We start from the raw sequence: 14,637 nt of genomic DNA, 5'->3' as shown, positions 1-14,637 counted from the left end.
GTTACTGGCAGACTCTTCTGCCTTAAGAGCTTGCAGACCAACAATGACCTCTTGGAGACTCAGGCACTCTCCTCGGGGTGATAATGAGGAAAGCTCTCCTAAGTATCAACAGCTCTGTCCATTTTCCACGCTATAAATAAGATGTTACTGCTCAGGGGAGCCTAGGATCTAATCCTTCCAATCAAACTCCCAAACCAAGATTGAACCAACTCCTCGAGGAACTGTGCACATGGGCAGCAGCTGCTTGCAAAGACTCATATTCCAAGGACAGACAAGTCACCCCCAGCCCCTGTGGGGAAGCCGGCCTTCTGCATACAGGAAAGACACCACACAGGAGAACGAGTCAGTAACTGGGAATCAAAGTGGTTTATTCCAGAAATGTCAATATACACTTTTTTTTTCCCCAGTATATATCACATCTTAACACAATATATTACTTTGGGCAATTAATACATTTCCTTCCTCTAAAGACAAGCATGCAGAGGAGAATGTAGGTAACTGTTTATCACAGGGTATACACTCTTGTGAGTGGCCCAAATTGTGCAAACAAGGAGGTAAAAAAACAACAGCCTGGCTGGGCGCAGTGGCTCATGTCTGTAATCCCAGCACTTTGGGAGGCCGAGGCGGGCGGATCACCTGAGGTCAGGAGTTCAAGACCAGCCTGGCCAACATGTGAAACCCTGTCTCTACTAAAAATAAAAAATTAGCTGGTTGTGGGGGCATGTGCCTGTAATCCCAGTTACTTGGGAGGCTGAGGCAGGAGAATCGCTTGAACCTGGGAGGTGGAGGTTCTGCAGTGAGCCAAGATCATGCCACTGCACTCCAGCCTGGCGACAGAGTGAGACTCCATCGCAAAGACAAAAAACAAACAAAAAAAACGACAGCCTACAGTAAGTCTTACCTCGGCTCTCCTGCCCTGGGAGCAGGAAGGCATCTTTCCGTGGCAAATAGCACCCGTCAAGACCCCAAACCTTCCTCTACTGCAGCACCCCAGGGAATTTCACAGCTGAAAATGCTTTGTGCCGGGCGCGGTAGCTCATACCTGTAATCCCAGCACTTTGGGAGGCCAAGGCAGGTGGATCACCTGAGGTCAGGAGTTCGAGACCAGCCTGGCCAACATGGTGAAACCTCGTCTCTACTAAAAATACAAACAATTAGCTGGGCGTTGTGGCAGGCACCTGTAATCCCATCACTTGAACCCGGGAGGCGGAGGATGCAGTGAGCCGAGGTCACACCACCGCACTCCAGCCTGGGCCACAAGAGCGAAACTCTGTCTCAAAAACAAAAACAAACAAACAAAAAATGCTTTGAAAGAGGAGAAAGGTGACAACAACATAGCTACCACGTCTAAAGTGCTCCCAGGCCCCAGCCCAAACCCCACAGCCCTCTCCTGAGTGCTTTATAGGATTTGCTCATTTAACCCTCAAATGTACCAATCTGGGCCAGTGCAGTGGCTCATGCCTGTCACCCCAGCATATTTGAAGGCTGAGGCAGGAAAACTGAGGCCAAGAGCTTGAGACCAGCCTATAGGCAACATAGTGAGACTCTGTCCCTTATTAAAACAAAAAAAGCACCAATCTGGTGGGAGGCATGGTCATCTTCAGTGTCCCCATCTTACTGAAGAAGTAATGGAGGTACAAACAGGGAGGGACCTGCCCGAGGTCCAGCAGGCTGGTGGGGAGCTGGGATCAGAAACCCCACGTGGACAACGTGGTGGCCTCCGCCTCTAAGTGCTAAGGAGGCACTTGCTGGGTCGTTTGAACCCACCTGCTGCTGCGCTCCCAAAACTTCCCATGGGACCAGGCCTCCCCTCTGCAGCCAAAGTTCCTTTAGATGATGAGAGGCTACACACTCAGACACATGGCCGGCGGGCACAGGAACCACAGAGTATGTGGTCACCTTGGCGTGTATCTATTTATAGCCATACACAACAGGGTCTTAAGCAGTCACCATTCAAAAAATATGTGGTCAAGAACTAAACCAAACAAACCTGGATGATCCTAGGCCAAAACAATTCCTTTCCAGGCACACAGGCCCAGCAGAGACAAAACCAGATATTCATTCATCACACACACAAGTCTTCCAGAAACTGACCTGCAAAGAAAAGTATATGCATCAGTTCTTATTCTACTTTACCAAGTCTGAATATTTAAAACTGTGAGCTCCATGAGATACTCTCTAAAATCTAAAATCCACCTTCCACCTAGAACATGACATGGGAGGTACCCTGGGATTCTGCCCTGCGGGGAATGGGCCCCCAGCCACCCCTCATTCTTCCAAGTCTACAGGTACCACTGAGCCAAGGGCTGGTCACCTCCTACTCAAAGACATCACAAGGACTTCCTAACCTCATCTTTCCCTTTCTTTTTTTTTTTTTTTTTTTTTTGAGACGGAGTTTCACTCTTTTTAGCCCAGGCTGGAGTGTGCAATGGCGTGATCTCGGCTCACCGCAACCTCCGCCTCCCGGGTTCAAGCAATTCTCCTGCCTCAGCCTCTTGAGTAGCTGAGATTACAGGCATGTGCCACCACGCCCAGCTAATTTTGTATTTTTAGTAAAGACGGGGTTTCTCCATGTTGGTCAGGCTGGTCTTGAACTCCCGACCTCAGGTGATCCGCCCGCCTCAGCCTCCCAAAGTGCTGGGATTACAGGTGTGAGCCACCACGCCCGGCTCTAACCCATCTTTCTCCAGGCTGTCATCTGTAGACCACCACGTTGCCCTTAGAAACCTGCTTGTTAAAAAAGCCACTTGAACTTTGACATTCAAGGGCCCTACAACCTGGTTATCAACCTACATATTCCAACTTTACTTTTCTTCCCTTCCCTCCAGCCACATATTACTCAGTACAGCTCTCACTAGGGAGCTCCCCACATTCTTCCATGCTTCCCGCCTTTTGTCACATTTCAGCAGATGGAAACAGCCTTTACTTCCCCGAGAGGGTCCCATCCCCTGAAGGGTTCAACAGAAAATGTCCTTTCCTGTTGTTCCATAGTGCCTACTGACATCGCTAGATTCTAAGCCCCTAACACCAGGGACCATACTTTTCTTTATATTCCCTCCACGGCGTATGACTCAATGTGCTTACCCCTGTAGGTACTTAATTGCACTGATGATGTCACTTCTCAATCTGTGTGCTAACAAAAAACAGGCAAAGACAGAAGGAAGACGCTGCTTCATGAAGGAGCAGGCTAAACTACAGCCGAGAAAATCAATATTACATTCCATAAACAGGCCAGGTGTAGTGGCTCAGGCCTGTAATCCCAGCACTTTGGGAGGCTAAGGCAGGCGGATCACCTGAAGTCAGTTCAAGACCAGCGTGGCCAAAATGGCGAAACCCCGTCTCTACTAAAAACACAAAAATTAGCCGGGTGTGATGGCATGTGCCTGTAATCCCAGCTATTTGGGAGGCTGAGGCAGAAGAATCGCTTGAACCCGGGAGGCGGAGGTTGCAGTGAGCTGAGATCGCACCACTGCACTCAGCCTGGGCAACAGAATAAGACTCCTTCTCAAAAAAAAAAAAAAAATTTCATAAACTGTTATTGTCTCTGTTGGAGACCTCCAGGAGAAATCAACATGAAGGTTCTCCCAGAAGCATAATCTCAACCTTCAGCCAAGACGGGAGGAAGAGCAGGAGATGCAAAAGGGTTCTGTGTGCCACGACTCCCGGAAAGGTGGCACTGCTCCCTCTAATGCACTGTAGACCAACACAGCAGCCACTAGCCACATGTGACTATTTACAGTTAAAATAAAAAATGTGGACTCACAGTCACCAAATGCTCAACAGCTACATGTGGCTTGCGGCTGCTCTGGATAGCATAAAATGGTCAGATAGGCCATTTCCATCATTGCAGAAAGTGCTGCTGGACAGCACATCATCTATGTTCTGCACATAGTGCTCTTTTGCAATTACAGATTTGTCTGTATCATCCTCTTACATAAAACCCATAAAGGGGCAGGGCAAGGTGGTTCAAGCCTGTAATCCCAGCACTTTGGGAGGCCGAGGTGAGCAGATCACCAGAGGTCAGGAGTCTGAGACCAGCCTGGCCAACGTGATGAAACCCCGTCTCTACTAAAAATACAAAAATTAGCCGGGCATGGTGGCGTGCGCCTGTAATCTCAGCTATTTGGGAGGCTGAGGCAGGAGAATCGCTTGAATCTGGGAGGTGGAGGTTGCAGTGAGCCAAGATCACACCACTGCACTCCAACCTGGGAGACAGAGCAAGCTCCATCTCAAACAAAACAAAACAAAACAAAAACCCCAAAAATCCCATAATGGTATCCCATTATTCTTAGGCCAAAGACCAACATCCTCGCCTGAGCCGCAAGGCCCTGTATGGCCTGGCCTTCCCTATCTTTTTTTTTTTTTTTTGAGACAGGGTCTCACTCTGTCACCCAGGATGGACTGCAGTGGCACCATCATGACTCACTGCAGCTTTAAGCCCCCCACCTCAGCCTCCCAAGTAGCTGGGATCACTGGCATGGGTCACCACACCCAGCTTACTTTTTTGATTTTGCATAGAGACAAGGTCTCGTGTTACCCAGGCTGATCTTGAACTCCTTGGCTCAAGCAATCTTCCAGCCTCAGCCTCCAAAAGTGCTGTGATTACAGGTGTGAGCCACCGCGCCCAGCTCTTCACCTTTTTAGCTTCATTTCCCACCATTCTCCACTTTGCTTTCTGGGCTACAAAGGCCTTCTTTCAGTTCCTTCACCAGCTGCACCTGCTGGGGCACTGTGCCCAGCAAACTTTTACCCATCCTTCAGATTCTAGCTCGAGGGTTTCATCCTCAGAAAAGCCTTCTAGTCTCCATCGGATCTTTTTTTTTTTTTTTTTTAATAATTAAAAAACATAGAAATGAGGTCTTACTATGTTGCCCAGGCTGGTCGCGAACTCCTGAGCTCAAGTGATCCTCCCACCTTGGCACCCCAAAGTGCTCAGATTACAGGTGTGAGCCACCACACCCGCCAGATCCTTGGGATATATGTTCTTACGTTCCCTTCCTTCAGAGCACTCACTTTGGCTTGAATTATGCCCTTTTTTTTTTTTTTGAGATGGAGTCTTGCTCTGTCACCCAGGCTGCAGTATAGTGGCGCGATCTCGGCTCACTGGAACCTCCACCTCCCGGGTTCAAGCGATTCTCCTGCCTCAGCCTCTTGGGATTACAGGCATATGCCACTGCACCCAGCTAATTTCATGTTGGCCAGGCTGGTCTTGAACTGTTGACCTCAGATGATCTGCCTGCCTCGGCCTCCCAAAGTGTTGGGATTACAGGCATTAACCACGGTGCCCGGCCTGAATTATGACTTTTTTTTTTTTTTCTCGGAGTTTTGCTCTTGTTGCCCAGGCTGGAGTGCAGTGGTGTGTGTGATCTCGGCTCCCTGCAACCTCTCCACCTCCTGGGTTCAAGCGATTCTCCTGCCTCAGCCTCCTGAGTAGCTGGGATTACAGGCACATGCCACCATGCCCAGCTAATTTTTTGTATTTTTAGTAGAAATGGGGTTTCATCATGTTGGCCAGACTGGTCTCGAACTCCTGACATCAGGTGATCCACCCGCCTCGGCCTCCCAAAGTGCTGGGATTACAGGCATGAGCCACTGCACCTGGCTGAATTATGCCCTCTTAAGTGTGATCATTTAACCTTGTCTCCCTAACTGGGTTGTAGTTCCCAGAGAACAAGGGCCATGACTGTTTTCTTCATCTCTGTATCCGTAACATTTAACATGATGTCAGGCCAATGTATCAACAAATGTTTATTGAATGAAAGACATGACAGTAACATTGTTTATGAAGTTTTGAAAAGCAAGGGCTCTCTGATACTAACTACAACCATTTTCTTTAAACGTAGGTCCTGTTTGCAGTATCATACATGATCATCAAACTGCTGCTAGAATGCTCACACCTGTTACTGCAAATTCAAAACCCAGGAAAGACTTCTTCCGGGAATTTACTTTAGGTCAGGGTTGGGCTGCCTGGTACCATGCTGCACCCACAACTTGGCAGGCTCAACAACACAGGAGCCTTTCCCCAGACCGTCTGACCTGAACACTTTGTCACCATGCTTGACATACCTGGATGCCCTGCTGAGGTCACTTCGAATGCTCTCATCAACGAGGGGCAGGAAGAAAATAGTGGTTGCTGCATGTTTTCAGCCAATCGTCGGGGGATATTTCTCATTTTCTGTTGAAACCTTGGGGGAAAAAGTAACATAATGTGCTTTAAAAGGACAAAAGTCATTCGACGCTTACCACACTCCTAGAAACCTGGGCTAACCCAGCCAGGGACCCCAATGCTTTTCTGCTGGCTACGGGGCCTCCCTACAGCTCCTCATTCCAATTTCGGTGGCTGTGTGCGGACCAAGTTCTCTTTTGTCGCCTCCCGTCCAAGCCCTACTTGCGATGGGAGAAGCCGTCCCCGAAATCCCGGGCGCCGTGGAGGGGGTCTGGTCTCTGGGTCTCTGGTCACCCGGTCAGTGCCTCCAGCCCCCGGCAGAGCTCTGTTATCGTCCCGGGGCGAGCCCAATTCCGCAGGCTAGGGCCGATGGCGGCGGAACTGTGGTCAGGGCTGCCCTGAGTCATCCTGCGGACTGCGAGTCGGCGACCACCAGGAGGCGAGAGCGGGTTTCCCCTCCAACAGGCCAAAGCACGTGTCTCCACTTACTTCCCACTCCCCTGGGCGGAAGTAGCTCCGTCAGCAACTTCCGGCCGGAAGTGATAACTTACCATAGAGATAGCAGCTAGAGAGTCGATGACTTTGGATCTGGGTCATCCAAGCCGGACTTAAAGGGGTCGCAGCCCGCGCGGTGTGATTAATGGGGACTAGAGCCTGGGCCAGAGGGGAGGGCCCTGGAGCGAGGGAATCAGAAGGAACATCCCATTTCTTGAAAGCCCGCTGGGTTCCTGGAGCCGTGAAAGCATTATCTCTCTACTCCTCATGCAACCCTCTGAATTAAGTGCAAAGACCACTCCTGTCTTGTAGATGAGAAGTGGGGCGCTCCGGAGATGCTTGGTTACTTTTCCAAGCACAGCCGGCCAGGAAGTGGCAGAGCTGGGTTCACACCTAAGTCATTTCTGCTCCAAACCCAATGCCCTTTCCACCACCCCAGGTGGCAGGAAGGAGAAAGCTCAAGAGCAGAGGGGCTACGTGAAGATGCAGGCCGTCCTGGCCTATTGGGATACCCCCTGAAAAGCCTATTGCTCCAAAAGACCTGGTAGATTCCCGACAGTTCACTGTCTGTGGGCACAGGAAGCAACGAACAGGAATCTTGCTCTGAGTCTAATCCCACAACCAAGGAAGAATTGCTGGACCTTGTCTCAGAGGCGTTTGAACCAGAGCAACTCCATCTTGAATAGGGGCTGGGTAAAATAAAGCTGAGACCTACTTGGATGCATTGCTAGGTCATACAGCTCATAAAGACCTTGCTGATCAAACAGGCTGCAGTAAAGAAGACGGCCAAAATCCTCCAAAACCAAGATGGCTATGAGAGTGACCTCTGGTTGCCCTCACTGGTACACGCCCACCAGCGCCATGACAGTTTACAAATGCCGTGGCAACGTCAGGAAGTTACCCTACATGGTCTAAAAAGGGGAGGCATGAATAATCCACCCCTTGTTTAACATATCACCAAGAAATAACCATTAAAAAAAAAAGGCCAGGTACACTTTGGGAGGCCGAGGCAGATGGATCACTTGATGTTGGGAGTTCGAAACCAGCCTGACCAACCTGGTGAAACTCCATCTCTACTAAAAATACAAAATTAGCCAGGTGTGGTGGCACACACTTGTAATCCCAGCTACTTGGGAGTCTGAGGCAGGAGAATCGCTTGAACCCAGGAGGCGGAGGGTGCAGTGAGCCAAGACTGCACCACTGAGGCCAGGCATGGTGGCTCGACCCTGTAATTCCAGCACTTTGGGAGGCCAAGGCGGGCAGATCACCTGTGGTCGGGAGTTTGAGACCAGCCTGACCGACATGGAGAAACCCCGTCTCTACTAAAATTACAAAAAATTAGCCAGGCGTGGTGGTGCATGCCTGTAATCCCAGCTACTTGGGAGGCTGAGGCAAGAGAATTGCTTGAACCAGGCAGGTGGAGGTTGCGGTGAGCCGAGATTGCGCCATTGCACTCTAGCCTGGGCAACAACAGAGAAACTCCGTCTCAAAAAATAAAATAAAATAAAATAAAATAAAGACCGTGCCACTGCACTCCAGCTTGGGTGACAGAGCGAGATTTTTATGACCGCACCTCCTTCACAATGTCTTTGAGTTGTCTCACTCACATTCAACAATACATACTGTTAGTTTTATTAACTTGGAAATATTTAACTTACATTTTTGTTTTGATGGAGGAGCTACAGTTCTGTTTTGTTTTACCATATTTCATGAGTTTACATAAGAATGAAAGGATATAATTGTATAATCAGCTTAACTGGAGTAAACAGGTTTGTAAACAACGCAAGTGGCTTCAGGCAGGCATTGGGCTCACCTGGTTGGAGCAGAAGCCGGGTGCCCCAGGAGGGGAGCCTCCAGGTTTCTTTTGTGTGGGTGATCCCCGTCAGTACCACTTGGAGTGGGAGAGGGACTTTTCTCAAAGGAAGCAGGGGTGAAGGCGTCCTGGACAGGCGAAAACTACAGGCGTCTACTACATGGCCCTACCTCTGCCCCCTGGTGGTGGCTCTTGGTGGCGCTGCTGACCACAGGTGATGTTAGAAACAAGCCAGCCGTGCACCTAGCAGGTCTTCTCCGGGGCTGCCTGTCTGACCTGCAGGATAGAGTCCACACGATTGCTTTCCCCCTCTTTTTCCATTTCTGCTTCATTAGGAAAAAACAAAACTCAACAAATCACCCTTACCTGTCCTGGCCCTGTTGATCTGACCGCCTTTCATCACCTTGGTGCCCACACAGACCCCTGCTCCAGCCATTCTGCCCAGCCCAGCTCCCAGACACTCCGCGCATCCGCACTCCAGCAGAGCACACCTGCCCTTTGAAGCCAGCTCTGGTCCCAGGTGACAGTTTCTTCTCACATGCTCTCCGGTGCCAATTGTTTGACATATCCTGTGTCCCCTGGGCTATTTGTTACACACCTTTCGATGAACACATCTGGTCTCTGTTGAGTGGGGCTGTTCTCTCTAAAGGCAGGGTGTTGTCAGCATCCTCAGCCTTATCGGGAAGATGAGGTCTGCAGCAGGAACCTTTGCCCCCACCTCCCCAGACGAGAGAGGATGAATCCCCCGGAGCTGGGAGGGCTGCAGGAAACAGAGATACACATCTCCTTCCTGGCCAGATGCTTGCTACATCACAGACCCTGCCAGCAGGTCCTGGCACTGCTGCCAGAGAGAATGTGGTGAGAGGCCAGGCATGATGGCTCATGCCTATAATCCCAGCACTTTGGGAGGCTGAGCAGGTGGATCACCTGAGGTCAGGAGTTCAAGACCAGTCTGGCCAACATGGTGAAACCCTGTTTCTACTAAAAATACAAAAATTAGCTGAGTGTGGCAGTGGGTGCCTGTAGTCCCAGCTACTCAGGAGGCTGAGGCAGGAGAATTGCTTGAACCCAGGAAGGGGAGGTTGCCGTGAGCAGAGATCGCACCATTGCACTCCAGCCTGGGTGACAAGAGCGAAACTCCATCTCAAAAAAAAAGAAAGAAAGAAAAGAAAAAGACAAAAAAGAAAGCATAGGGAAGCCGGGCATGGTGGCTCACACCTGTAATCCCAACACTTTGGGAGGCCGAGGCTGGTGGATCACTTGAGGTGAGGAGTTCAAGACCAGCCTGGCCAACACAGTGAAACCCCGTCTCTACTAAAAATACAAAAATTAGCCGAGTATGGCAGCAGGCGCCTGTAGTCCCAGCTACTCGGGAGGTTGAGGCAGGAGAATCACTTGAACCCAGGAGGCGGAGGTTGCAGTGAGCTGAGATTGTGCAACTGCACTCCAGCCTGGGTGACACAGAAAGACTCTGTCTCAAAAAATACATAAATAAATAGTTTTGTTACAATTTTGTATGCAGGGAGTCAGGGACACACTTATATAAACATTTTCTTTCTTTCTTTTTTTGGGTTTTTTTTTTTTTTTTTTTTTGAGAGAGAGTCTTGCTTTGTCACCCAGGCTGGAGTGCAATGGTGCGATCTTGACTCACTGCAACTTTCACCTCCTGGGTTCAAGCGATTCTCCTGCCTCAGCCTCCCGAGTAGCTAGGATTACAGGCATGCGCCACCACGCTTAGTTAATTTTTATATTTTTAGTAGAGATGGGGGTTTCACCAGGTTGGCCACGCTGGTCTTGAACTCCTTACCTTAAGTGATCCGCCTGCCTCAGCCTCCCAAAGTGCTGGGATTACAGGTGTGAGCCACCGCGCCCCGCTAAAAGTTTTCTTCGTTGATTTTGTGAAATTCAAATATAACCCGTGTTCTATATTTTATCTGGCAGCCCTAATTGCAAGGCAAAAGCCACAGTATCCCCCTGCACAGGGCTGAGAGGAAGCAGGTGGGGGCAGGAGAGGTGCCGGCAGTTTGCAGATGTGCAGAGCTAGTGGAAGACATTCCTCAAAGTCCCCATGGTTCAGGAACCCACTTTATTTATGTTTTACTTACTTTAATTTTTTTTTTTTTTGAGACGGTCTCACTCTATCGCTCAGGCTGGAGTACAGTGGCACAATCAGGGATCACTGCAGTCTTGATCTCCTGGGCTGAAGGGATATTCCCGCTTCAGCACCCAACCCCACCCCTGGCCCCAGCAGCTGGGACTACAGGCACGTGCCACCATGCCCAGCTAATGTTTTTTCTTTTTTTCTTTTTTTTTTTGAGACAGAGTTTTGAGAGTTTTGCTCTTGCTGCCCAGGCTGGAGTGCAATGGTACAATCTCAGCTCACTGCAACCTCCGCCTCCTGGGTTCAAGTGATTCTCCTGCCTCAGCCTCCATGCACCACCATGCCCAGCTAATTTTTTGTATTTAGTAGAGACGGGGTTTCACCATGTTGGTCAGGCTGGTCTCGAACTCCTGACCTCAGGTGATCCACCCACCTTGGCCTCGCAAAATGTTGGGATTACAGGCATGAGTCACTGCACCTGGCCTATTTTTTATTTTATTTTTTTTTAATTTTTATTTTAGTAGAGACAAGAAGGTCTCACTATGTTGCTGGTCTCAAACTCCTGAGCTCAAGAGATCCTCCCACCTCAGCCTCCTAAAGTGCTGGCAATATGGGTGTGAGCCACTGCGTCCGGCCTCAGGACCCCATTTTAAAGAACAGGCATCCCAGTCCTAGGGCCAGCCACAAGCCCTCCACAGCAAAGGCTTGGCAGCCTGTGGCTGGCAGCTCCTGATGTTTTGCTCACCTATGCAGAGGTGGCCACGGGGCTGCTGCCTGGCATCTGGAATGCTTTTGAGGGGAGGCAGAGGAGAGCAGGGGGGTTGGGTTACAGTGTGTGGTGCTAACCATTCCACAGTCGTTTTGAGCTCTGCAGGGTGGTGGCTGGCAGGACCCATTGAGGAACCAGGGCCAGGAAGCAGGCCTTCCTCTGGCCCTGATAGCTCTGGGTAGTGCTGGGCTCAGGCTGCAGCTGTGCCTACAGCTGTCAGGCAGGAACCTGACTCTCAGAGGCACCTGTGTGCAGGAGCCTCCTGTGGTTTGAGGCCAAAGCTCATGCACCACCCCTGCCCTCTGATGCTAAGTGACCTTATCGAGTCCTCATATAACCCAGGAGGTGGCTGCCACTAATAGTTTTCCATTTTACAGATGGGGACTCGATAAGGTCACGTTGTTAGAGCCTCTAGCCATGGTAACTACGTACCACAAGGGAGCACTGCAGGAGGGCAGCCAAGCTGTGCCAGGGAACACCATGGGGAGGGCCTCTGTCCAGGTGTCTGCGTCTGTTTTGTGCGGCTATCACAGGATACCTGAGACTGGGTTATTTATAAAGAAAGGAAATTTAGGCCAGGCATGGTGGCTCACACCTGTAATCCCAGCACTTTGGGAGGCTCAGGCAGGTGGATCACCTGAGGTCAGGAGTTCAGGACCAGCCTGGCCAACATGGTGAAACTCCGTCTCTACTAAAAATACAAAAATTAGCCGGGAGTAGGGGTGTGCTCCTGTAATCCAGGTACTCAGGAGGATAAAGCATGAAAGTCGCTTGAACCCGGGAGGCAGAGGTTGCAGTGAGCCAAGATTGCACCACTGCACTCCAGCCTGGGCAACAAGAGCGAAACTGTCTCAAAAAAAAAAAAAAAGGGAAATTTATTTCTCACAGTTCTAGAGGCTGGGAAGTCCAAGTTCAAGCCTCCACTATCTGGTGAGGGCCTTCCTGCTGTGTCCTCACAGGCAAAGATGGAAGGGGGAACTCACTTCTTTAAGTCTTTTTTTTTTTTTTTTAAGACGGAGTCTCGCTCTGTCACCCAGGCTGGAGTGCAGTGGTGCAATCTTGGCTCACTGCAAGCTCTGCCTCCCAGGTTCACACCATTCTCCTGCCTCAGCCTCCCAAGTAGCTGGGACTACAGGCGTGCACCACCACACCCAGCTAATTTTTGTATTTTTGGTAGAGGTGGGGTTTCACTGTGTTGGCCAGGCTGGTCTTGAACCCCTGATCTCAGGTGATCTGCCCACCTCGGCTTCCCAAAGTGCTGGGATTACAGGCATGAGCCACCGTGCCTGGCCCTTAAATCCTTTTTATAGCAACATTAATCCATTAGCCTCTACCTCACAACACTGTTGCATTAAGGATTAAGTTTCCAACAGATGACTTTTGGGGAACATATTTAGGCCATAGCACTAAGTGAGCACTGGACTGGCTTCAAATCCCCCAGATCTCCAGCTTTCCCACTCATGCATGTTCTCTCTCTCCGTCCCTCCCTCTTCTAAAGTAAGTTTACTAACCTCTTGCCTCAGTTACTTTTTCTGTAAAATGGGAATCATAATTCATAATCTCACATGATTTCTGAGGATTCAGTGAGGATTGACGTGTAAAGCACTCAGAAGTCATGTGAGAAGTGCTGGCTCTCCTAGGGAGGTAGACAGGAGCCTCTGGGGTGCCCTGGTTAAATAGTCACTGTTTTTCACAGTTCAGAAAAGCCCTCAACATCACAGGCTCATGGGACCCCATTAAGAGCCTGCATCATGGCTTTGGGGATGGATCTATTTGATTCCAGTGGGGGCAGCCCCATCCAATAGAAATATAATGCAGGCCACATAAGTCATTTTAGATTTTCTGGTAGTCACAGTAAACAATACAAAGAAACAGATGATGTTAATTTTAAGGACACGCATGGTGGCTCACACCCGTAATCCAGCACTTTGGGAGACTGAGGTGGGTGGATCACTTGAGGTCAGGAGTTCAAGACCAACCTGGGCAACCTGGTGAAACCCCATCTGTACTCAAAATACAAAAATTAGCCAGGCATGGTAGCACACGCTTGTAATCCCAGCTACTCAGGAGGCTGAGGCGGGAGAATTGCTTGACCTCGGAGATGGAGGTTGCAGTGCGCCAAGATCATGCCACTGCACTCCAGCCTGGGTGACAGAGCAAGACTCTGTCTCAAAAAAAGAAAAGAAAAGAAAAAGAAACAGGTGGCTCACATCTGTAATCCCAGCACTTTGGGAGGCTGAAGTGGACAGATCACTTGAGACCATGAGTTTAAGACCAGCCTAGCTGACATGATGAAACCCCGTCTCTAATAAAAATACAAAAACTAGCCAGGCATGGTGGCACACACTTGTAATCCCAGCTACTCAGGAGGTTGAGGTATGAGAATTGCTTGAACCTGGGAGTCAGAGGTTGCAGTGAGCTAAGATTGCACCATTGCACTTAAGCCTGGGCAACAGAGCAAGACTCTGTCTCAAAAAATTTTTTTTAAACTTTATTTTATTTAAGAGATAAAAATATGATCATAACATGTAATCATATAAAAACTGTTAGACCAATTTTACTTTCTTTTCTGTATTAAGTCAGAAATTGGTGTGTGGTTCCTGCTTATGACACCTCTCAATTCACGCTGACCGCAGGTCAGGGGCTTAGTAGCCACATGGGGCTCATGGCTGCCACAGTGGATGGCGCAGAGCTAGGAGCTTTTGTCTCCCCAAGCCCAATCCTTGAAATCTTGGGATATAAAGGAAGGAAGGGAGGGAGGAAATTGGCATGATCGCCTCGGCTGGCCAGGTATCTGGCTTTGTGCTAGTTATTTTCCTGTGCAGTATGTCATTTAACTTCAAAGCAACCCTAGGGATGAGGTATTGTTGTGCTTATGTTTTAGTTTGTTATTTTTTATTTTTATTTTTATTTGAGACAGAGTCTTGCTCTGTCACCCAGGCTGGAGTGCAGTGGTGTGATCTCGGCTCACTGCAACCTCCGCCTCCCGCCTCCCAGGTTCAAGTGATTCTCCTGCCTCAGCCTACTCGGGAGGCGCACACTGCCACACCTGGCTAATTTTTTTTTTTTTTTTTGTATTTTAGTAAAGGAGGGGTTTCACCATGTTGGCCAGGCTGGTCTGGAACTCCTGAGCTCACACAATCCACCCACCTTGGCCTCCCAAAGTGCTAGGATTACAGGCATGAGCCACTGCGCGCACCCTGTGCTTATGTTTTTTTTTGTTTGTTTTGTTTTTGTTTTATTTTTGAGACAGAGTCTCGCTGTGTTGCCAGGCTGGAGTGCAATGGTGCGAT

The 14,637-nt window shown here is 49.6% G+C and overlaps 1 protein-coding gene, 1 long non-coding RNA gene and 2 other non-coding genes across 5 annotated transcripts in view, besides 5 other annotated features; all 4 read right to left on the bottom strand.

The window, feature by feature from the left end:
- SEC14L1 (SEC14 like lipid binding 1) overlaps nucleotides 1-6,653 on the bottom strand; it is a 128,417-nt gene extending 121,764 nt beyond the window's left edge. For both annotated transcript variants that reach the window (NM_001204410.2, NM_001204408.2), the window contains exons 1-3: nucleotides 6,389-6,653; nucleotides 6,067-6,185; nucleotides 1,991-2,094 (exon numbers count right to left, since the gene is read on the bottom strand). The gene's annotated coding sequence lies outside the window, so the exon portion shown is untranslated. The remainder of the gene's footprint in view (nucleotides 1-1,990; nucleotides 2,095-6,066; nucleotides 6,186-6,388) is intronic.
- Nucleotides 352-6,695, bottom strand: SNHG20 (small nucleolar RNA host gene 20). Its single transcript, NR_027058.1, has 3 exons — nucleotides 6,389-6,695; nucleotides 6,067-6,185; nucleotides 352-2,094 (listed from the first exon to the last, which is right to left on the bottom strand). It is a non-coding gene; the product is annotated as a small nucleolar RNA host gene 20 (long non-coding RNA).
- Nucleotides 5,659-6,593: an enhancer, noted in NCBI's record as "H3K27ac-H3K4me1 hESC enhancer chr17:75084827-75085761 (GRCh37/hg19 assembly coordinates)". NCBI's record gives its function as "activates a minimal SCP1, AML or CMV promoter by ChIP-STARR-seq in primed H9 embryonic stem cells {active_cell/tissue: H9 hESC(primed)}" and the evidence as "EXISTENCE:reporter gene assay evidence [ECO:0000049][PMID:30033119]".
- Nucleotides 5,659-7,289: a biological region, named in NCBI's record as "P300/CBP strongly-dependent group 1 enhancer GRCh37_chr17:75084131-75085330".
- MIR6516 (microRNA 6516) lies at nucleotides 5,841-5,921 on the bottom strand. The gene has a single exon (NR_106997.1). It is a non-coding gene; the product is annotated as a microRNA 6516 (primary transcript).
- SCARNA16 (small Cajal body-specific RNA 16) lies at nucleotides 5,845-6,031 on the bottom strand. Its single transcript, NR_003013.1, has one exon.
- Nucleotides 6,090-7,289: an enhancer, noted in NCBI's record as "P300/CBP strongly-dependent group 1 enhancer chr17:75084131-75085330 (GRCh37/hg19 assembly coordinates)". NCBI's record gives its function as "activates an origin of replication core promoter dependent on BRD2, BRD4, P300/CBP, MED14 and CDK7 cofactors, with strong dependence on P300/CBP, by STARR-seq in HCT116 cells {active_cell/tissue: HCT116}" and the evidence as "EXISTENCE:reporter gene assay evidence [ECO:0000049][PMID:35650434]".
- Nucleotides 6,214-6,323: an enhancer, noted in NCBI's record as "active region_12821". NCBI's record gives its function as "activates an Ori minimal core promoter by ATAC-STARR-seq in GM12878 lymphoblastoid cells {active_cell/tissue: GM12878}" and the evidence as "EXISTENCE:reporter gene assay evidence [ECO:0000049][PMID:35858748]".
- Nucleotides 6,514-6,823: an enhancer, noted in NCBI's record as "active region_12820". NCBI's record gives its function as "activates an Ori minimal core promoter by ATAC-STARR-seq in GM12878 lymphoblastoid cells {active_cell/tissue: GM12878}" and the evidence as "EXISTENCE:reporter gene assay evidence [ECO:0000049][PMID:35858748]".

The sequence above is a fragment of the Homo sapiens genome, chromosome 17 (genome assembly GCF_000001405.40).
Source record: "Homo sapiens chromosome 17, GRCh38.p14 Primary Assembly".
In the NCBI taxonomy this organism is placed as follows: Eukaryota; Metazoa; Chordata; class Mammalia; order Primates; family Hominidae; genus Homo; species Homo sapiens.
The sequence above is the reverse complement of the archived record's forward strand: the minus strand, read 5'-3'. Positions and strand labels throughout refer to the sequence as shown.